Raw genomic sequence first — 23,871 nt, forward strand, 5'->3', positions numbered from 1 at the left:
TTGCATATATAAAATGTTTTCATATGGGCCTGGTATGGTGGTTCATGCCTGTAATCCCAACACTTTGGGAGACCAAGGTGGGAGGATTCTTTGAGCCCAGGAGTTTGAGACCAGCCTGGGCAATATAGTAAGACTCCATTTCTACAAAAAACTACAACAATTTTTTAAGTTTTTTGGATCACCAAGCCAGGTGTGATGGTCTAAACCTGTATTCCCAGCTATTCAGGAGGCTAATGCAGGAGAATTGCTTGAGCCTGGGAAGCAGAGGTTGCAGTGAGTTATGATCACAGCAGTGCACTCCAGCCTGGGCGACAGAGCGAGACCCTGTCTCAAAACCAAACAAACAAACGAACAAAACTTCCTTATGTTTGAATTCTCCTACATGCTTTCTGTTTTTCAGAGAGTTGGAGCTGTGAGTTTGGTCAGCAATAGAGGGTAATTTACCACCGAATAATTTGTCAGGGGATTATTAATAAGATCTCTCGTGGCAGAGGCCTGAAAATCAAATGCAAATATGTAATAAGACAGGGTATGCTTTTAACACAGCCCACATAGGCATTGCTGAAGTATTAGGAACGGTTTTATATATGGCCTGGTACTGGCTCAGTGCTAATTCATAGAAATAAATTCAGCCAAGGGCCTTGATACCCATCTCATGACAAAGAGCTGTTTGCAATTAGAAAGAATTGGACAGATGTTTACTTCTTTGATATTGGTAAGGTACGGTGGACAGTTATTGCCCTTGGTGTGAGACTAGGCTTGTGTGAAATTGATGCCCTTATATCGAGGGTAGAAATTGAGACTATAAAGACCACCTCAGTGATCCCATAGAGCATGAAGGAAGCCAGGAGAGAGTGGTTCAGGAATGATTCCAACATGACGCACCTGTTGGCCAAGAGGAAAGTACCAAAAATAGCACAACCCCCCAGTCTCCCATGGAAGGAAATAAGAATGTAGCTGCCCTTATTTGTAATAAACACTGCTCATTGTTTTTACAGACATTTATAACAACATCTGCTTGTTGTTGGTTTCATTGTTGTTTGCTTTTGTGTTTTTTGTTCTTGTGGTTTTTTTCTGTTGTTTTTGACTTCTAGAAGTCTTTTCAAAACATGTAAAAATATTTTTATTTGTAAAAATATTATGTTTTATTTGAGGGATGCTTTCTTTACATAGAAGTTTAATTCACTGAGATTAGCCATTGCTTTTTTTAGTTTTAAATTTTATTTATTTTTTAAATTTTAAAATTTTATTCTTTTATTTTTGTTTAACTTTTGTTTTAGGTTTTGGGGTACTTGTGAAGGTTTTTTACATAGGTAAACATATGTCATGGGGGTTTGTTGTACATATTATTTCATCACCCAGGTATTAAGCCCAGTACCCAATAGTTATCTTTTCTTTTTTTTTTTTTTCTTCAGACAGAGCCTCACTCTGTTGCACAGGTTGGAATGCAGTGGCGCATCTCAGCTCATTGCAACCTCCGCCTCCCGAGTTCAAGCGATTCTCTTGCCTCAGCCTCCTGAGTAACTGGGATGACAGGTGTGTGCCACCACACCCAGCTAATTTTTTTGTATTTTTAGTAGAAATGAGGTTTCACCATGTTGGCCAGGCTGGTCTTGAACTCCTGAACTCAGGTGATCTGCCCACTTTGGCTTCTCAAAGTGCTGGGATGACAGGCCTGAGCCAGGGTGCTGGCCCCAATATGTATCTTTTCTGCTCCTCTCCCTTCTCCCATTCTCATCCCTGAAGTAGACTTGAGTGTCTGTTGTTTCCTTCTTTGTGTTCATAAGTTCTTATGATTTAGCTCCCACTTATAACTGAGCACATGTGATATTTGGTTTTCTGATCCTGCCTTAGTTTGCTAAAGAATAATAGCCTCCAGCTCTAAGAGATTAGCCATTTTATTTTAATTAATGGAATCCATATTGAATTTCAGGTTTTCTCTACTTTTCCATACTCTACTGCCTATTAATAGAAACTGAACAACTTATCCTCACTTTCTGTTTCCTTCCTTTTGTCAGTGACATCTTATGTTGGCATTGCATGAGAGATCTTACTTAACAATATTAACAACCAGTGAGAAAAGGTCAATTTTCGACATGAATTTTGCAAAGGTGGGGGAATATCTGTAAGTCACATGCAATTCCTGTATTTTATTATCTGGTGGCTGAACATTCTTTGGAAAAGTATGAAAAAAAAGTCTCAAAGAAAACACCTGTATTCATACGAGTATTTTCTGAAAAACATATTTGGCCACCCAGGCTCAAATATAAAACCAGGATTAATAAGTACAAAAAGAAAATCCCCTAGGAAACAGCTGCAGATTAAAACTGCCATTTAAAAAAATAAAAAAAAAAGAAATGAGCAAAATGCTGTTTCAACTTAGCAGTAAGAAAATTCATCTTTTCAGTACTATAAAAGCATTCACATCCATAATCCTAGCAAAGTTGAAACTTTCACAGGACGTGTACTGAGATTGAAAAGCAACAACTATGCTCAATAAAGTCATGCAAATGAGTGGATCAGGAAAAATATGAATGAGCTCTCAAGCTCAAGAGGCAGTTGTCAAGAACACAGGGGACTGGAAAAATAACTGTCAAAAAAAAAACACAGAAATTACTCAAATCCCAAAAGTTTTTAAAATAGAAATTATTGTTGAAATAATAGTATTATATTGTTGATATTAAGCACATATAATATTAAGCAAATGAAGATTTTTAGAATAAGAAAATGAGACAGTATTTTAATTTATTAAGATGGGATGGCTAGAAGAGCAGATATTGGGCTAGTAAGGCCTCAGTGTGTGTTCTATTGAGACATTGGCATATTTAATAAATAGACCTGGAAGGACATAGAGGAATTACCTGGGACATTTTCATGACCACAGATGGCTGATGATTGAGCTATTCAAAACAGAAGTGTTCAGGTCATCTATTGTATTGTTATTTTTTAAATATAACTTTGATTTCAAGTTCAAGGGTACATGTGCAGGTTTGTTATTAGGTAACCTTGTGTCATGGGAGTTTGTTGTGCAGATTATTTTGTCACCCAGGTATTAAGCCTACAGTAACCCATTAGTTATTTTTCCTGATCCTCTCCCTCCTCCCACCCTCCACCCTCCAATAGGACCCAGTGTGATTGTTCCCCTCTATGGGTCCATGAGTTCTCAGCATTTAGCTCCCATTTATAAATGAGACATGCGGAAGTTGTTTATCAGCTTATTGAGCTTTTGGGTCTCGACTATAGGGTTTTTGCGATATAGGATCATGTCATCTGCAAACAAGGATTGTTTGACTTCCTTTCTTCTTATTTGGATGCCCTTTATTTCTTTCTCTTGCCTGATTGCTCTGGCCTGGACTTCCAATACTATGTTGAATAGGAGTCACCCATCCTCAATGATGCTGAAAAATCCCTGCCTCATGTGACCTTGATTTTCCAAACACAGCCCCAGGCAGAGACTTGGGAAGATCCCCTGGATTAGAAATTAAGAAGGGAGACAGGCTGAGCAGGATGGATTATTGAGCAATAAAACAAGATTTGCTTCCCGCCTTTGTGCCCCGAATCACCAGAATTTATTACCTTTTCAAGAGGTCTTTGTATAATATATACATGATATTTTACACACCCTCTGTCTTTATTTTCTGTAGAGCAAGCAAGGAAAGATGGAAGACTCTTAGGTACGTGTGTTCAGCCAGATTTCTATGTGTATGAACATCACAACCAAAACCCACATTCCCCTTGGAACTCATCAAATTGATGACCAAGAAGTTCTCCCAGCATCTCTTGCTAATAGGACTAGAGGGTGTGAGTAACGTACAAATCACAGGTTTCAGGGGCTTGATTCTTAAACACAGGCATTCGGCTGATTCTTTAATTGTTAACATGGGGGTGAAGAATTGAGTCTGGCGATGCTTGAAAATTCTTGACATGTGTCTAGAGAATGAAGCATTTGCTGTAAAGAAAAAAGTTTACAAAGAGATTGCTAACGCCTAGTAGAAAGTTCCTCAGCTAGCCAAAGAAAACCACTGCTTTCTTCATCTTTTCTTTTTTTATTGTTGCTATTATTGTTTTTAATTGGGTTATTTGTTTCTGCCACTGCTGCTTTTCAAAGGATTTGGTGGAGAAGAAGCTGAAAACCCACCACAATACCAAGCCACACAGGTAAGTTCACCTGCGTGTTCACTGAAACACAATTAGAAAACTAGGCTTGTGCTTCCTGAAAGGCATTTTCCATTTTCTCTCCATCTGTATCCTCAACAGAAAAGGATTTTTTTTTCTTTTTTACCCTGTGTGACCTGAATTGCATTAGGGAATGAGTCTTCTTCACCCACTCAGTATCTCCGTTAACAGATACTGGGTGTGACTTCATTTTGTGGGAGTGTTTTCATGGATAAGAGACAGGACATGCCCTTACTCATGAGCACTGTGATTAAAGCAACATTTAAAGCACGGTATTTCCCATGTTGTGGATGCTTGGTGTGCTGAAGACAGCTCAGGGTACTGCATGCAAAGGTGGTTTCTCAATGAAGTGGGTAAAGCACTTCTGCCCTGAAAATGGCTTCAGGAAGAAAACAGTTAGAGGTCACCTCTATTTGTCTGCTCCAATTAAGCTCAAAGTAAAAACACAAATAGAAGAGTTGGATGCCCACTGACAAATTAAACTGTTAAACATACCCATAACTTTACATTTCAGTGTAGTATATAGCTAGTGAAGGAACATTTTGGTGGGAAGCAATAAGGCCTTTTAACTAATCTTACATTTGGCATGGATATTAATCAGACTAACAGAAAGTCATGGAAGTTTCATCCGCTCTCTTTTCCTGATCACTGGGCAGCACAGGTTATAACCACTCTTGTTTTCTAGCTGATCGCTTTTCAACAAACAGGATCTATGGCCTGCGATATGTAAACTGAAGTGGGGGTTGGGAAAGAACATAGATTATAGCGTCTAGAAATTCAGTTCGCTGGACATCTGCAGAGATCTGTGCATCATGCTGATATTCACATTTCCACCCCACCGTTTTGGGAAGTAAGAGAGGAATCCACGCATCCAGGCTTTCAGAGATCTTTATGCTGGGCTTCTGCTCCTAGGTTTCCAGCTGCTGAAAACAAGAAAAAGTAAATATCTGTGTAATTTGACATTTAGATTTATAGACATGCATTAACTTTCTTCCACACACTTAATGCTCTTTTTGCAGAAAGTGAAAGTAAGATAAACAATTTTAAAAAGTGATTAATCGGCCGCTTGCAGTGGCTCACACCTGTAATCCCAGCACTTTGGGAGGCTGAGGAGGGCCAATCGCCTGAGGTCAGGAGTTTGAGACCAGCCTGGCCAGCATGGTGAAACCCAACTCTACTAAAAATGCAAAAATTATCCAGGTGTGGTGGTGCACCCCTGTAATCCCAGCTACTCGGGAAGATGAGGCAGGAGAATCGCTTGAACTTGGGACGGGGAGGTTGCCGTGAGCCAAGACTGTGCTATTGCACTCCAGCTACCACAGACTGAGACTCCATCTCACAAAAAAAAAAAAAAAGTTTAATCTGAAAAGGCATAAAGAGGTTGAATCTCTAAAAAATTAACTTTCCTTTTTCCTATGAACCTGAGTAAAAGCTTTTTTCCAGATTGTCCCCATTTGATGATAAGACAAACAGGACAAATATTTCTTACTTTCTAATCAGGAGCGCAAATTACCTAAAAACTTAGCATTTTAGTGGCTGAGGCCATGGCTCCCATTTTGCTCATTTGCATTAATAGCTTGATTATGTATATGCGTAGGGGCAAGAGTTTTGCATGGGGCCAAGAGTGAAAGATGCTACTGGCTCAGACATGCAGAGTTCTGGAGACGTAAGAAAGACTCAAGACCACTGAGGAGTTGCTTGGATCCCTGAAGATTGCTGCAGATGTTTCAGGATTGGGGGTGAGTTATTTACTAAATCTTTTACAAGCCATCCTGTTGGCTATGCGGGCACTTCATGAAACTGTCAGCGTCATCTTTGCCATTTTGGCAAATGCCATCCTTTGTCATTGGTATGGAAAGGGAAGTCTCAGTTGGATGTGTCTTAATGATCAATGGCTCCCCTTTTTCCAAACATCACAGGTATCATATAATAATAGACATAAAACTTAAAAATTGTCTTTATGAAACCAATCTGTGAAGCTGCATGCTTTTATGAGTCTAAAAAGCTGGCAGAAAGTGATCCTAAAAGGCTGGGCATGGTGGCACTTTGGGAGGCTGAGGTGGGCGGATCAAGAGGTCAGGAGTGGCTGGGCGCGGTGGCTCACGCCTGTAATCCCAGCACTTTGGGAGGCCGAGGCGGGTGGATCATGAGGTCAGGAGATCGAGACCATCCTGGCTAACAAGGTGAAACCCCGTCTCTACTAAAAATACAAAAAATTAGCCGGGCGCGGTGGCGGGCGCCTGTAGTCCCAGCTACTGGGGAGGCTGAGGCAGGAGAATGGCGTGAACCCGGGAGGCGGAGCTTGCAGTGAGCCGAGATTGCGCCACTGCAGTCCGCAGTCCGGCCTGGGCGACAGAGCGAGACTCCGTCTCAAAAAAAAAAAAAAAAAAAAAGAGGTCAGGAGTTCGAGACCAGCCTGGCCAACATCATGAAACCCCATCTCTTCTAAAAATACAAAAATTAGCCTGGTGTGGTGGCAGGCCCCTGTAATCCCAGCTACTCGGGAGGCTGAGGCAGGAGAATCGCTTGATCCTGGGAGGCGGAGGTTGCAGTGAGCCGAGATTGTACCACTGCACTCCTGCCTGAGTGACAGAGTGAGACTCTGTCTCAAAAAAATATATATATTTAATATATATTTAAATATATAAAATATTTAATATTTTAATTAATAAAATATTTAAATATATATATATCACTGGGCGTGGTGGCTTATGTCTGTAATCTCAGCACTTTGGGAGGCCAAGGTGGGTAGATCACTTGAAGTCAGGAGTTCGAGACCAGCTTGGCTAGCATGGTGAAATAACATCTCTACTAAAAATAAAAATACAAAAATTAGCAGGTGTGGTGGCACACACATGTAGTCCCAGCTACTTGAGAGGCTGAGGCATGAAGATCTCTTGAACCCAGGAAATGGAGGTTGCAGTGAGCTGAGATCATGCCACTGTACTCCAGCCTGGGTGACATAGTAAGACCCTGTCTCTAAAAAACAAACAAAAAATCTAAATTTACATAATTATATATGTAAAGATAATTTAGGTAATTTAGGGGAAACTTGTTCCCCCTAGAATATAGAAAGTCTGAGCCGCAGATATCAGCATTTTATCTCCAGATCTCACTATGCATGTATGCCATGTAATAAATGTGGTTGCAATAAAAGAAGAAAAAGTGGAATTTGAAAATGAAAAATGGCATTCATGAAGAAAAGTACACCTTTTTTTGACTTTTGTTTGCAAAGTGCATGCACTACATATCAGATTTTTAAAATTCACATCGTTAGTATGCATCAATGATCTCTTTATGAATTTGCAAAATTTAGATAAGTTATGGTGTCATATTTGCTGTGTTTATTTTTTAGATTTTTTTAATGGAGGAAAATTTGGAGAAGGACATGACCTGGGCCTGTGTTTCATGGGGTGCCCTTACTTGAGACAATCAGGACACTATCACTTTCCAGATGGAAAATAATGATCCAAATGCTTTAATGTCCATTAGGGAAATTATCCTTCCAGCCCAAGAAAGCAATCATGTTATCAATTCATAATACTGGGGGGTCTTCATGTTCTATGAGATGTCTTCAAAATGTCATTGCTACAGTAGGTCATTTTTTTACATGATTTTTAAAAATTTTATTTCAAAATGTAGGCTTATCTCTTTAGGTTCTACAAAGGATGAAACTATAGAAAAACCTTTTTACATATCTGCATTGTCTGTAGGAATAAGCCACTTTGCAAATAGTGAGATGGATGTTACGTCTTAATTTCTTGTCCATGTGATGATGAATTTTTGCTCCTTTAGATGGTTTAATTCACTCTTTATATGATGCAATTCTCTTAATTCTCTTTGCTGCTTTCTTTGCACAAAGATACTGTGAAAATATAGAGAAAGAGGTAATTCACGGTTTTCATTTTTCATTGTTACACTTGGAACTGAAGTGATCCATTACTTGATTTTGAGAGAGACTGTAGACCTAAGTGTTTAAATTAAAAGAATAAAGCTTCTAAGATAAAGCTCTTGCTATCTTGGGTTTAGCAAAGATTTCTTAATCAGATCTCAAAGTTACTAACAATAAATTAATAAAATAATTGAGCTTATAAACATTTTTAAAAATACTTTTCCTGATCCAGGAGAGAATTGACTTAAGAGTCTAACACCTTTTAAAGTCTGATAAGAAACATTTACAATTTATCCTCTCTGAGCCTGCTACCTGGAGGGTTCATCTGCATGATAAGAATCTTGGTCTCCACAACCCTTTATCTGAGCCCAGACCTTCCCTTCTTTGGATATCTGGTCTTTAGATAACCTCTTTCAACCAATTGCCAATTGGACAATCTTTGAATCCGCCTATGACCTGGAAGCTTCCACTTTGAGTTGTCCTGCCTTTCTGGACCGCTGATGTCTTCGGTCTCCCTGGAATGTACAAAGCCAAACCGTAGCCTGACCACCATGGGCACGTGCTCTCACGACCTCCTGAGGCTGTGTCACAGGCATGTCCTTAACCTTGACAGAATAAACTTCTAAATTGATTGAGTCTTTTCTCAGATACTTTTTGGTTTACAACGTGAAATACATTATGCTTCCATTACACTAGTTATCATGGGAAAACACCTCAAAAAAATAAAAACAGACCAACAAAAGACAATAAAGACCTTTGTGCCGTCCATTATTTTTCTGTCCTAGTATTTGTGGCCGGGTCAAAAACAAACTAGACAGGGACCCTGAGGGAGGGAGATTTCGCTGACATCTGTAGGTAGGATCAGGCTTCCAGGGCTGCAGAGGGAAGAGCTTCAATAAGAGGAGGGAAAAGCAGTGATAATGACCTTCATGGGTCCTCTACTGCCGACTGTCTGGGCTGCAGTGCCCTGGCACATTTCCTTGCAGAGAAAGGACAGCAGGAGTGGGCTTCCTGGTTCCCTTTCTGTTTTCTCTGAGGCCAGCAGGTGCCTGGCGTGGCCTTTGCGCCCCCTGCTGGTCGTTCTGGCAGCACACAGCCTCCTGCCTTGCCAGTGTGAAACCCGGTGCTGTCTTGTTCCCCGGGTGGAATGCAAGAGAATGCTTGGGAAGAACTTTGTTACCCAATGAAGCCTCCTGGTTCTCTAGTCCCTGGTAGCCTGTCCTGGTTGCCAGGTGCTTGTTTGCATTCCAAGCTCCACATTCCCCAGGGTCCAGTGTAGTCTTGTGTCTAAGCTGGTGTCTGGCCACCAAAGGCAGGCGTGCAGGGCCTTGGCTACTGCGCTAGGTCTGCTGATGGCCACAAGCCTTTAGTCCCAGCTCTGCCTTAGCAATGGGGGTGTCTGAAGGCTCAGGGGATACACAGGTCCTCTAGGTTCCTGGGGAGATGATGGTAAGTAATCCTTCTTAACAGTCTTTAAAAAATACATAATTTAACATGGACAAAGCAAGTAATCAAAAGGCTATCTGACAAAGTGAAAAATATTGTAAAATTCTTAACACGTTTAACTAGATCATAAACCCAGGAAATCCTTGAGCTTCCTTCAAGACAGGCCAGCTCTTTGAGTGAGTTAGATACACTGGGTTTGTCATCAGTTAATACTAATCTGAATAGGTCTATCTCTTTGTGTAATGATAAAAGAGGCCTTGTTGAAAATAAGCCAAAAGGGAGCCCCCTCTCTCCATGGTGAAGTGTGTATATGGGTCATTTTCAAAGTTAGATATGGTTTCTGTAAGATGAAGCCTGGCCATTCTAAGTCACTTGAGTGAAAACAGCTTACGAGCCTGGCAGAAGAATAATTCACAACATAAGAAAACACTTTCTGATCTTTAAAAACATTGAAAATTTCTTTTACAAGAAATTGAAGGCTGGAAAGAAAGGGAGAAGGACTTGAATAGAAAGAAGGAAATTATTGGAATTCTAATGAATACAGAACACAAATCCTAAATGATAGATTTAGTTTAAGTGTCTGATGGAAACCTTTCTGAATATCACATATCTACCAGCCAATAGAAAATAATGTAGAAGGTGGAAATCTGAAATTCAATATAAAGAGTGGATTATAAAAGGAAGACCGCATTATCCATTAGGCAAAGACCCTTTTGAGAAACCTATCTGTGCTTTTAAAGTAAGCACTTTCTCCTAGAGGAAAAAAACTAGAAGACAGATAGTAAACCAAAAAAAAAAAAAAAAAAAGAAAAAGAAAAATCTAATAAATAAATTTCTTAGAACTCAAATTGAAAGCATCCTATGGAAGGAAGAATCTTTCCATTTAGAAAATGCTCACACAGAAAGTGAGAAAGCTTCTGCAGAAACTTGAAATGCCATCTGAACTTTATCAATAACAGACACATCAGGTATGGATTTACCATTTAACATTAGAGAAGAAACAGCTTGAAGTAAAAGGAAGCATCAACCAACCCCCTTCTAAGCTGGGGACTTAAGAAACAAGAACAAGGGAAATGAATCAGAATTAGAAGCACTTTGATTTGATCAAAACCTTTTTATCTCCCCTAAGGAAAGAAGCTTGCAATAACTAATTAGCAGCTCCGGCCACTGGAGAAAGCTCAATGCCTTGAGAAAAGCAAATGCACCGGAGAAACAAGTTAGATAGAGCTGAATTAAAGGTGAGCTTTTGGCCAGGCACAGTGGCTCACGCCTGTAATCCTAGCACTCTGGGAGGCCAAGGCGGGTGGATCACCCGAGGTCAGGAGTTCAAGACCAGCCTGGCCAACACAGTGAAACCCTGTCTCTGCTAAAAAAAAAATACAAAACTTAGTTGGGCATGATGGCGGGTGCCTGTAATCCCAGCTACTTGGGAGGCCGAGACAGGACAATCACTTGAACCTGAGAGGCAGAGGTTGCAGTGAGCTGAGATCGCACCACTGTACTCCAGCCAGGGCGGCTGAGCGAGACTCCATCTCAAAAAAAAAAAAAAGTGAGCTTTTATGAAGTGGTCCTTATATCCCTGCAATCTCCAGTACAGCTCTGGGAGAGCCTTCAGAGGACACAGTGATCCACCGATAACCAGATCTGGGAGAAGGAAAGATAACTAGCAACAGATGATCACTAAGTTGGAAAACTGGATTTTTCCCCCACCTCCTGTGCCAACAGTATCACCTTTTCTAAAAATCTTTTGTGCTTTCTCTCTGTAGCAAGAGGGAAGCAGGGAAAAAAGATATTTAAGAGTAGGTCTTAGTGTACACATTCTGCATAACCTAAGGATTTGAGAGCCCTTCACTCTCACCCCTCAATTCATCCAGTTTCAACAAATAAAAACAAGGAGGCAGTTAGGGGCCAATATAATTGCTGTTATTTGTGAAGTAAAGGGCATACCTAACTTCCAAACACTCCATGCCGTGCTTCAGGACTCTTAGAAAAAAAAACAATAATTGTACAGGCCATCCCTTCCAGAGATGGCTGGGGCCTCACTCCTGCTTTAGACTGGGTATTCTGGGTGCTGGCACAATCCGCAACCCACACTATGCCTGTACAAGCAGGGCTAACTAACAAAGGGCAGTGTGAACAGCTTCACAGTGAATGTCATATTAGGATTATTTTATATACCAATAACTAAATCCCAACCATTCTGGCTTAAAAACACACATACAAAGTTTACAATAAGAAATGGAAGTAAGGCCGGGCACGGTGGCTCATGCCTGTAATTCCAGCAGTTTGGGAAGCCTAGGTGGGTAGATCACCTGAGGTCGGGAGTTTGAAACCAGCCTGACCAACGTGGAGAAACCCCGTCTCTACTAAAAATACCAAATTAACTGGGTGTGGCGGTGGGCGCCTGTAATCCCAGCCACTCAGGAGGCTGAGGCAGGAGAATCGCTTGAACCTGGGAGGCAGAGGTTGCAGTGAGCCAAGATAGCGCCATTGCACTCCAGCCTGGGCAACAAGAGCGAAACTCCTTCTCAAAAAAAAAAAAAGGAAATAAAATTTACCTGGAAAATTTGGACTAGCTGACTGCTGGTATATCTTGAGCCAGGCCCTCAATGTCCTCAACAGTCTCCTAAGGAATTTGCCTTCTTTTCCCAAATTCTCTCTCTCTCTCTGTCTCTCTCTCTCTCCTGTATTGGCCGTATTCTCTCTCCATTTAGTAATGAATGTGACAGTGCCATGCTTTTATTCTACCAGTTTAGCAAATCATACTCAGACCCCACACATACACAGGTGAAGTGGAGCTTCCTATTCCTGACCACAGTGGTCACTTCAGAAAGAGGCACGTAATTGAATGCCTGCAATAAGAACCCTCCACAAAAGTTCCCTCCACAGGAACCATTAGGGACCACGTTCTTCTCTTGGAGGACTGGTAGTTACATGTGTTCAGTCACATATGCATTTCTGAAGCCATCCTTATAGGAAGGGCAGGACACATTCTGATGATCATGCCAATTCCAAAGGATTTCCACATGAAAGGAGAGTGGTCAAATGACAGTTCCTCAAAGGACAACATGGAAAGAAGTTGCTAGAAAAAAGGAGAAGCAATGATGGACAGGCAGAATAATCAGGCGGGTGAGGGGGTGGGTAAACAGAGTACAGAGAGGTGACAGTGTGGTGCCTCAAAACTGTCCTGAGAACTGGGCAGAATGGAAACTGTATCAAATGAGCCACAGTGCTGGCCCAATGCCACTGCAAAAATCTGGATTTTTCACCTCAGCAAACGACACAGATCGAAATTCTCCTTCTGACCAAGGTGGAGTAATCAAGACTAGATTCATGATCTCACCTGGAAAAAAACCAAAATTATATAAAATAATGGTTTTCAAGACATTAGGCATCAGCCAATGTAGGACACTGATTCCTAAGAGATGGGAAATGATCAAGGTGGATCCTACAAGGTGGATCCCCCCATCCATTGTCTAGAGAAGCTTTTGGATGAGCGAGGACCCAGTTGAAGCCTGGTGAACTTCCTGAGCTGGTGCCATGGAGTAGGGATTCTGGGGGGGGCCATGGCAGCTGATATTTGCAAGCAGAGTTAACAAAGATGAGGAAAGTTGCACCTAGAAGAAACTCTTGGGCTGTACAGCGAGCCCAGGTGAAGTCCTCAGCAGGATTCTGATCCACGCACGCATGTGAGGTTAGCCAAGGAAGAACCACCTCAAAGGGAGTAAGGGAAAAGTACTCAGAGCTCACACAGGTGCCAATTCCCACCAGCCAGAATGGGAAGGTCACTGAAGCATTTGTAAGTCCTCCAAAGCACAAGGCTTTCTTGTGAATGGCAAGAGATGAAATTTCTTCCACCCAGTACTGAAGGTAAAGCCCACTCCAGTCTCCAGCCCCTCTGACCAGCCCATAACAGGGTCCCTCTCACCAGTCTGATGGATCCAGGTCTATCCCATGCTGGTTGTCGTTATTGTGGGCTTGAGTTTAAACTCTGCTCACACACTCTGACACGATATATAAAGACATAAAAGCAAACAAACGAAAACAGCAGGAGAATTTGGGGCCTGTCTCTTGCATCTGGTGAGGCAGCCACAACTTGTGTTATGTGCCCCTGCACACACCAGGAAGCCTCAAAATAATGATGGTAACATCAACTTATTTGGTGAGCGCCCCCATGCACAATGCATCAGATAGTCTGCTAAGTGTTTTACGAGCGTGATGCTACATAACTCTCCCTACATGGGCCGGCTAAATGCAAAAAGCTGCATAACACTTTCTTATGGAGACAGTGGGGAAGTAAGGATTTGAAATCATCTCTGTATCAGGATATACTGTCTCTATGTGATAAAAGATGGAAACACAAAGGAGCTCAATGAACTACAGACAGCAGCCAAAATGTGTATAAATAACCCGAGGTTGCTCAGGGGACGGATTTGTATATCTAGGATCCAAAGGATAACAGTTAAATAAGGAAAATGCAGGCCATTTACAAGGGAACTGTCACATTGTCTCCACCCTTTTGCAGACCAATTTTTCCCAAATAGTTGTTTTGTGGTCAAATTAAAAATGGCACTATGGGCCGGGTGCGGTGGCCCATGCCTGTAATCCTAGCACTTTGGGAGGCTGAGGCAGGTGGATCACCTGAGGTAGGGAGTCCGAGAGCAGCCTGACCAAAGTGGAGAAACCCCGTCTCTACTAAAAATACAAAATTAGCCGGGCGTGGTGGTGCATGCCTATAATCCCAGCTACTCCGGAGGCTGAGGCAGGAGAATCACTTGAACCCGGGAGGCGGAGGTTGCGGTGAGCCGAGATCGTGCCATCCCACTCCAGCCTGGGCAAAAAGAGCGAAACTCCATCTCAAAAAAAAAAAAAAAAAAAAAAAAAAAAAAGAAGGAACTATGTTATTTCTTTATGTTTTGTTGAGGAAACTGAGGCAGGAAGTTGGAATGGCTCCACTAAAGGCACACGGTAAATCATTGCCAGCCCTGGATGCTAAGAACTCCTCTCCCAGTGGTTTTATTGATGAAACAGTCTTGTCAGCACTCTTAGCAGTACGAATGACTGGGCATTTCCTCTCCTGTTATTATTCCAACCTAATTACTATGGGAAGCATCTGTTGTTGAACATGGCACTGTAGGCATAGCCATGATTAATTGGTTTTTATTAATTCCATTCAAAAAATTATGAAGTTTGGCTTTTCCTTAGAAAAATGAAAGCTGCATGCATATGTTACTCTCATGTTAACAATAAGAAAATAAAATGGCTAATCAACATAAGCACAATAACTTTGAAAACGGAGATCTCGGTAGAAAGTGGTGAGGTAAATTTCAGTGACAAGTTCCTCTTACAGGAGCGAGACACACAACATTTGGCAAAGCACAGTAGGCAAAGGAGGCAGCTATAACATTAGACAAGCAATGAAATAACATTTGAGCAAATTCTTAATAGATACAATTGAGCTACCACGTCAGTTGGAATTTGAATGCCTAAGAATGCCCCACACAAGGGGCATCTGTACCGATACAAAAGAGAGTAATGCCGTCCCTGTGACTGAGCAGGAACCTGTTTGTACCCAAGACCCTACACCCCTACAGAAGAGACTCTCCCTGCCGTTAAGGACAGAGTCAGCGATGCTGAGAAATTCCTGCCTCACTTTTACCCAATGGTTCATGTGACCTTGTTTTTCCAAACACAGCCCCAGGCAGAGACTTGGGAAGATCCCCTGGATTGTCAGAAATTAAGAAGGGAGATAGGCTGAGCAGGATGGATTACTGAGCAATAAAATAAGATTTGCTTCCCACCTTTGTGCCCCAAATCACAAGAATTTATCACCTTTTCAAGAGGTCTCTATATAATATACACATGATATTTTATACACTGTCTTTATTTTCAGTAGAGCAAGCAGGGAAAAATGAACTTTTCGGGACCAGGTTCCCTGTCTGTGGTTTACATGTCCTCTAAGCATGCAGAAGTAGCATGGCCCCGGACCCCCAGCCCAGGGTGCAGCCAGCTGCCACCAATCCCTGGTCTTTCCCTGGCTCAAGACACTTGGGACTCGCCGGCCATTTTGTATTCCATTTACTGTCTAACCTTTTCCCTAAATTAGTTCCTCCGCTGGAGGACTTTTCTCAACCTGGACATTTGTAACACAGATATTTTCTAGCTCAGATTCTTCCAGCGATTCAGGCTTTTGCTGAGCATGACTATTCAGAAGGGCCCCTGGGATCAGTTGCATCATTGGTGCTAATTCCTTAAGCCATCCCTTTGCGCGTGCCATGTTCCATTGTGAGCCTCAAATTCCCGTCAACAAAACAGCAGAATGTATTTATTAATCCCTTGAATTTCTGTTCCGTCATGTCAACTGTGTTGCAATAGAACGAGGTGCAAGGGGTAGACTGCCTGCGCTAGTGTATGTTTAAAGGGCCTTGAATTTTCCACGGTCTGTCACAAACCTCTGCCATTCCTGTGCCACAACATGCCTGGGCTGATTGGTTTGAAGAGAAACGTGACAGCCATACAGAGCACAACTATTTGAAGACAAGGTACCCCAGCCAGGCCCAGCACAGATCAGCCAGTGCCCAGGTAATCCACAAACGCATGAGCCGCAAATGATGACTGCTTGGGCTCTGAGGTGCTGTGGTTGGTGGCAGCATCGTCACAGCCACGGTTAACAAACGCACATGGATTTAAACCGGTCCCTATTTGTCTTCTACACAGCACCTCTCACTACCTGAAACACCCTTGTTATTTATGTATTTATGCACTTTAAGGTTAGAGGTTCTTCCTATTTTATTCTCCACTGTATCTCTGATAAGTAAAGCAATGTTTGCAACGTAGGAGTTTCTAAATAGATATCTGTGAATACATGAATGAATGTAATTCTCACATTAGCCCCCTCAGGTATTATAGAAACTTCCCTCATTCCTATTTCAGAGATATAGAAACAGAGGCACGGAACTATGATAAAATTGTTCATTATCGCGTAGCCCGTGAGAGAGTTGGGATTTCAGCAGACGGATCTGTTTACATCAAGAGAACTCTCCAAAGACAACCTAGACATTCGTGCCCAGCTTCTTTTAGGTCCTCTAAGATGCAGCTCTAACTGTAAAGTCAATCTGACATCTCTGTTATCATTGCAACTCAATGGAACATTGTTTGTGGTTTTCCAGCAACCACTTTCTAGCTGACACCCTCCCCACCCACGTATACACAGCTCTCCCTTCTCATGGAAGCGCAATTTGTTCAGTCTGTGTTAAATGTTTTCACCAATTAATCCAGTGGGAAAGGTAACAGAATTCACAGGAAGAAATAAATATTGTATTGGAGCCTTTTCTGAAAGCAAGAGAGAGAATGAGAGGCTGGCTCTCCCAGGCTGCCTGTGAGTTGAGTTTATATAATAGGTATCTACGCACGTGCTCATTTAGTGTTTATTGTACACTTGCTCTGTGACAGCCATCACTCACTCTACCTGCAGAGGTTATAGAATACAAAGAATGATGTGTTTTCTGTCCTTCATATATATATATATATATATATATATATATATATATATATATATATATATACTTTTTTTTTTTTTTTTGAGACGGAGTCTTGCTGTGTTGCCAGGCTGGAGTGCAGTGGCGCGATCTCGGCTCACTGCAACCTCTGCCTCCCACGTTCAAGCGATTTTCCTGCCTCAGCCTCCCGAGCAGCTGGGATTACAGGCACGCACCGCAATGCCCAGGTAATTTTTGTATTTGTAATAGAGATGGGGTTTCACCATATTGGCCAGGATACTCTCGATCTCCTGACCTCACGATCGACCCACCTTGGCCTCCCAAAGTGCTGGGATTACAGGCGTGAGCCACCGCGCCTGGCCGAGGAGCTTATATTTTTGTATAGGGAAAAAAATTTTTTCATATGTCACAAGTAAATGAATATGGCAAGGCAGACAGAAAAACATGGTATTGAGAAAAGTATACAGGGAATGTACATTTGAAGTCAGTGGTCAGGAACAGGGTTTACTGTTTCAACGTAATGGTCCACAGACCCTTTTTGGATAAGCTGCCACTGGAGAAAAGACTTCAGAGAGATAGGGAGTAAGTAAGTCACGTGGCTATACAGAGAAAAATACTGCTTCAGTCTTGATGGCAAAAGCAATCAGAATTACCCTTGGGCATCCCTTAAGATACTTAAAAGTATAGGACAAGGGAATCTCTCTGCATGTCCAGTGCAGCCAATTTCCCTCCAGTGTTGGGGCTGAATGGCTGATCTTCAGCTGATCTCCAAAGGGAGAGGGTGCCTGGCACTTCAGGGCCATGTAGTATGAAAACACGAGGGTCATGTTCAGGATGTTGTGACGCTCAGACTCAGAGACAGCACAGGACCAAGACAGAGGGGACAACAGGATCACTGCATGCATTTTGGGTTCATTCTGGGGCATTTGCTCATACTGTGGATAGTACGTTCGAACCATTTAGATTACCTTTCTTTATTATTTCCTTTGTCATTTCTCCCTTTCTCTTTTTTTTTTGTTTCTTCTCTCTTTCGTCCATATAAATACCCTAATTTATGTAACCTCCAAGAAACCTATGCTACTCGTAACCAAAGAATGAACGCATAGATTTATGTTTGCAAAAGTCAAAACTATAAACAATGGGTAAAAGCATTAGGGAAAAGGCTTCATAACAACAGCTATGCAAAAGTGAACTGGATTACCCTGGAAAATGAGTTGTGTCTCAGGCAGGACACAGGGGAGCTGAGTGACCCTCTGTTATGGTATCAGCCAGGGAACTTGGCTGCAAATAACGGTAACAGGGTTGATGTAACTTAAACAGAAAATGAATTTATTGAAAATTAATGGGTAGTTCCCCAAATCCACTAACAGCAAAGAGGAAGCCAGCTGGAATTGCTGGGGGCTGGGCAGACCACGTAGCCAAGGAGCAATGCAGTTGTGAACTGGACGCTGGGGCTGCCAGCTGGCTCTGTTCTCGTGTCCCTGCTGGCTCTGTTCTCATGTGCCTGCTTCTGGATGCAAATCTCAGGGCAGGAATTCAGTGGGTCAAGTCTAGCTGTCCTTCCTGTGTCTGAGCTGGCAGAAAGCAGGAAGATTTGTGGTCTCATTTGACATCATCAAAGGGATCTAAAACTCAGCCCTTATCAGGAGTCACAGAGTGGGGACCACCCAGCAAACGAAAGGCTGATTAGATGGGAGGCTGTCTTCCCCTCCAAAATGGGTCACATATCCCCCAAAGCAAGAGTTATTCTGGATAGTGTGATTTACAGAACTAGATAATCTAAAAAATCTCCTTCTATGTCTAACATTTTATAAGTAACAAGTATGTTAAAATAAGAACCCATGGGAGAAATATGTACAAACTTTCCAATTTTCAGGGATAACAAACTCTACTACTGTATGACACATTTATGACTTCTGAGCTTTTATTGTTAATTGACCAGGTTCATCTGGTTTTAGCCATTCTATGAGTCTAGTGTCCACCAGATACTTACTTAAGTTAGCATCCTACAGCTGTATGTGAAAGAGACCTTCTCAAGTCAGCAGAGCTTAAAAGGACAATTTATTATGAGAAGTAAGATGTCACATTGAATACAAAAGTTAAGCTGGAATGGGGTCTCTGTAACAGGGAACCAAAAAGCTCTGAGGCTTTTTCTGACATTTATTTTTCTCTGCCCCCCTGCATTTCCCTTTCTTTCTGTAGATCTGGTTTCTTTTAATGGCAGGCAAAAAAATGATGTCTTTCATTTCCACGTTGGAATGTTATGGTCTGGCTGGTCACGTCTTTTTTTTGGGAGCTGCCTTATTTTGTGTTGATTACATATTGATGATATCAACCATAGCATATGTTTTCATTACATATTGATGATATCAACCATAGCATATGTTTTCCCAATCTTGTGAACAAAAACACAGCCCATGTGAGGAGGTATTTGGCTGACATTGAGGCACCTTGTCTAGGACGTGGTGTCTCCCAGGACATGCCATTTAGGTTTCAAGCCACAATTAAACTTGACATCCAATTACAGTCACTATTGGTTACAAACACAATTTTACAATAATTAACTGCCAAATTGCACTACCAAATCCAGTTAGGTAACATAAATTTCACCTAGTTATATACAATGATGAATTATGAAGGACAGTGGGAATCTTTAAAATCAGTTTTCATATTTCCAGCAGTAGGTTATTCTTTCATGAAAAAAAAAAAACCACACCATCCTGTAATCAGTGAAATATATTGCTTGAGAAGGAAGAGTTTATAATGTTATCACATACACCTCACCCCACAATAATTCATTTATATACATTACATTTTTGTAGCAATGCGTGAGGTTTGTAATTTTGATTGAATAATTTTACAAATTGTGAACTTTAGAAAAGTTGTAGCTGCACAGCTTTCGGGATTTTCATTACTTAGTTTGCTTGTTCCTTTCAGAGTGAGAGTTTCGACCAGGAGTGGATACTGAGGAGAGCAAAGATCACCTGGTGCTCATCAAGCCGGACTTCCAGAGGCAAAGCTCCTTAACTGAAGAATTCAGAAGTAATTAGACTTCCCTATTATCCAAAGCAGGCATCTGGTACCAGCCTTCTTTCCCCAAAATTTATAAGTAACTACAATTTCTATACAGCTCCAGAATGCATATACATCAAAACTCATTTTGCACCCCTTGATGACATCAAGGCACCAGAATGCCTAAAAATGTAATCATCTATCATGACCTACATAGTTAATATGGTCCCAACTTACCCTTAAGCTCCTGCTCTAAGGTCCATACACACCCCTAAGGAACATCCACTGCGGTGGACTCAGTTCTCTCTTGCTGAGGCTCCCACTGAACTCCTCTGCAGCATTATTTCTTTCTAATAAAACTTTCCTTTTCATCCAGTCTATCATTGATGGGCATTTAGGTTGGTTCCATGTCTTTGCTATTGTGAATAGTACTGCAATGAACATATGCACGTATGTATGTTTATAACTGAATTATTTATATTCCTTTGGGTATATACCCAGTAATGGGATTGCTGGGTCAAATGGTATTTCTGTCTTTAGGTCTTTGAGGAATCACCACCATGGAATACTATGCAGCCATAAAAAAGAAAGATAACATGTCCTTCACAGGGACATAGATGGAGCTGGAGGCCATTCTCCTTAGCAAACTAAACTATGTAACAAACCTATACTTGTACCCCAGAACTTAAAATAAAAGTTTAAAAAAGCCCTTTCCTTTTCAAATCTATACTGTTGTTGGTAAATTCTTCTTACTACCCATGAGTAAATCACTTTTTGTTGCCTGAGATCTGACACCTCACCCAGCAGGCACCTACCATTTTTACTCCCCATTTACCTGTCTAAGCAGGAATTGGTGACTTAACAAATTTGGAGGAAGATTTTAGCAGAAAGAGAATTTGATCAGAGCCTAGTGACTCTAACTAACAGACCTATTAGTAGGCAGTCAAGGTTCTCCAGAGAAATAGAAGCAGTAGGACATGGGGCAGGGAAAAGGAGAGAGAGAGAGAGAAAGAAAAAGAGAGAGAAAGGTACCAAGGAATTGGCTCATGTGTTAGGGGCTGGCCAAGCAAATCTGAAATCTGCAGGGCAGGCTGTCAGAAAGGGCAGGCAAGAAACTCTAAGGGCCGAGAGCTGTGGTCCACAGGTAGAATTTCTTCTTCTCCGGGAAACCTCTTTCTAGTGTGGCAGCAAATAATGACTAAATGGATTTTGTGGCTAAGGCAGCACAGAGATATAGAAAAAGTTCAACAGGTATTATTAAAAGGCATTTAATCTCTAGGCAACTCAGCTAGATGAAATGCAATGAAAGAGTCGCTGCTTTTTTCAGGAGAGATACATGAGGCATCTTTACCTAATAAACACCATTTGTTATATTGAAGCTTTAGGGCCGAAGCCAATGAGTTGAAACTCTTAAAAACAAAATCTTTTGAAAATAATTCTGCACATTTAGGCGTGTTTTTTTTTTCTCTCCTTTGGGATCTGAAGAAAATTTCCTACTTACTCTGCCCAGCCCCCAACCTTTCTTTGGCTTTTGTGATGGTTTATTCTGTAAGATCCACCCATAGAATGAGGACCACCTGTAAAGGTCATCAAAGTTTGTTTATTCAGATCTTACCAATAAGGGACTTACAACGCTTTTCATTTTTGGCAGAGACTCCCAGGGGTTTTAAAAGAGTTTTATAGAATCAAAGGAGCCTTAAGTTTTAAGACAGTCCTTGACTGGGGAGTGTCCTTTGGGAATGAGTTTTTCTCCTAGAGTATGATGAAGCAGGGGAGGTTTCCTGATGGCTTTGGGATACACTGGATCACCTTTGATTGATTTGGCTTCTGTTGGTATATACCTGGGGTCTTTAAAGGCTGGGTGGAATCATCTGTGTTTTTCTATTGCAACTGATAGAATACTGGTCCTTGGTTTCGAGGTCCAAGTCTTGCATAAACAATTCCACAGATTATATCCTAATACCAGCTAGTGTTGAAGACAGGGGAGTTGTGCTGCCAAAAATAAATAAAAATATGTATATTCTACAGTACTTGAAATGAACCCTCTTTGTTTTGATGTACTGGATCTGTTAGTTACCCTTAAAAATAAACATCTATTTGTCTCATATAACTATCTGCTATTTGTCTATTATCTATCTATACATTAACCCTACAGGAATAATTTGGGGAAGATAGAATATTACAGCACTGGACTCTGTTACATGATCAGAGAGCAGATATCACCGTAAAGGAAGAATTTTTATTGCCATGAAATATTTTATTATCTGTGTTAAATAATCTCTCCAGAAAATAATGTCAAACAGCTTTGAATCAATACCAAGTGAATAAACTACCAAATTTACAAAATAACTAAGTCAATATATAGATATATCCATGTTACTTATACCTTCCTGACACTTCAATAAGTGGCTTATATAAAGGTTTCTAAATAAATGACACGGTGTGGAAACCACTATGGTGATATCAGTAGCAAAAACAACATTGCAATAGCTAATATTGATAAGCATCAATTTGGTGGCGAGTAGTCCTAAAAAAACATTCAAATGTAATTCTCATACTTAATACAAATAACACAATAAAAATAAACATATTTATTAGGCCATATGTCAGTGGTTCTCAATAAAGGTCCATTTGTACTCTAAGAGGATATTTGGCATTGTCTGAAGACAATTTTTGTTGGCACAACAGGAGAGACATTACTGGCAACTAGTGGGTAGAGCCCAGGGATGCTTTTAACATGCTACAATGCACAGCACAGCTCTCCCCGACAAAGAATTAGCTGGCCCTAAAATATCAGTAGTGCTGTGACTAAGGACTCCTGCCTTGCATTCTCCCCTTTGATCTTCTCATCCACCCCATGGGGTAGGGGATATTATTATAGCACGGAGAGGCATCAAGTCCACCAAACTATTTCTCTCTTCTTGGACCTCCACCTAGCCAACATCTCCTACTGATAAAACTGATTTCTGGTCAATGGGAAGTGCGTGATGGTGGTGTTGTCACCTCTATTTTGGGTTTACAAAACCTCCTGCTCAGTTCTTCCTATTCTCTCCCTTACTCCCTCCATTGGATGGCCACAGATGATCCAGTGCAGGACCCTGAGAAGCCCACAGGAGAAGAAGAATCCCTAAAGTGAGAGAAACCTGGGCCCTTGAGTGACTGCATGGAGAAGAGCCCCATCATTGACTCATGTTAGACTGTGACTGAAAAATAAACCTCTTTTGTGTTAAGCCACTGAGTTCTGTGGTTATGTGTTGCACCAATTTTCCTATTTTGGCTAACATAATTATTCTACCTATTTTTCAGAAGGGAAAAATGAGGATTGCAGAGATGATGGTTGATCAGGAGTCTGGTTCAATGTAATGCTCTAAGCTGATTCTCTGAGCTCTGTCCTCCTTATGTCATATTGATCCTCATGTCTGCTGCAATTCCAGTCCTCCTTCCAACAAACTCTTTTGAAATTCCCTCTCCCGGCACAGGAAAGTTTTGATTTCACTGACGGACTTAGTTTAGGTTATTTGCACCCTTGAATTTGTCTCTGTGGTTAGGGAGATGCTATGCCCTGATTGTCTTGGGTTATCACCTTAACAAGTCATGGACATTAGATGAGAACGATATGTTGATTCACCTCCAAACTTGATACCGGGGGTCAGCTCTACCCATTCACATCTGATGGCTTCTGTGCTGTCTGCCCCAAGGCTTTTCTTTCTGAGGATATGCATGTGATGGAGGTGACCTTGGATGTTTATGTCACAAAGAACCTTGAGAGGGTCATCTATTACCTAAAGCAATAGGGACCAGGCTTGCTTGAGAATTTCACACAGCTCAGAGACAATGTGATGCCCA

At 41.4% G+C, this 23,871-nt stretch overlaps 2 long non-coding RNA genes across 4 annotated transcripts; one reads left to right on the top strand and one right to left on the bottom strand.

Annotated features, from left to right (window-relative positions):
• LINC02372 (long intergenic non-protein coding RNA 2372) lies at positions 4,031–9,227 on the bottom strand. The gene is made up of 3 exons (NR_033970.1): positions 8,994–9,227; positions 7,863–8,041; positions 4,031–5,099 (listed from the first exon to the last, which is right to left on the bottom strand). It is a non-coding gene; the product is annotated as a long intergenic non-protein coding RNA 2372 (long non-coding RNA).
• A 113-nt stretch (positions 9,228–9,340) lies between these two features.
• Positions 9,341–23,255, top strand: LOC105370061 (uncharacterized). Of its 3 annotated transcripts, XR_007063516.1 has the most exons (4): positions 9,341–9,517; positions 17,100–17,240; positions 19,951–20,055; positions 23,106–23,255. It is a non-coding gene; the product is annotated as an uncharacterized LOC105370061 (long non-coding RNA). The 3 variants fall into 3 exon arrangements; XR_945511.3 differs by lacking the exon at positions 17,100–17,240; XR_001749174.2 differs by lacking the exons at positions 17,100–17,240; positions 23,106–23,255 and adding an exon at positions 20,566–20,615.
• Positions 23,256–23,871: the final 616 nt, after the last annotated feature.

Source organism: Homo sapiens, chromosome 12, assembly GCF_000001405.40.
Source record: "Homo sapiens chromosome 12, GRCh38.p14 Primary Assembly".
Taxonomy (NCBI): Eukaryota; Metazoa; Chordata; class Mammalia; order Primates; family Hominidae; genus Homo; species Homo sapiens.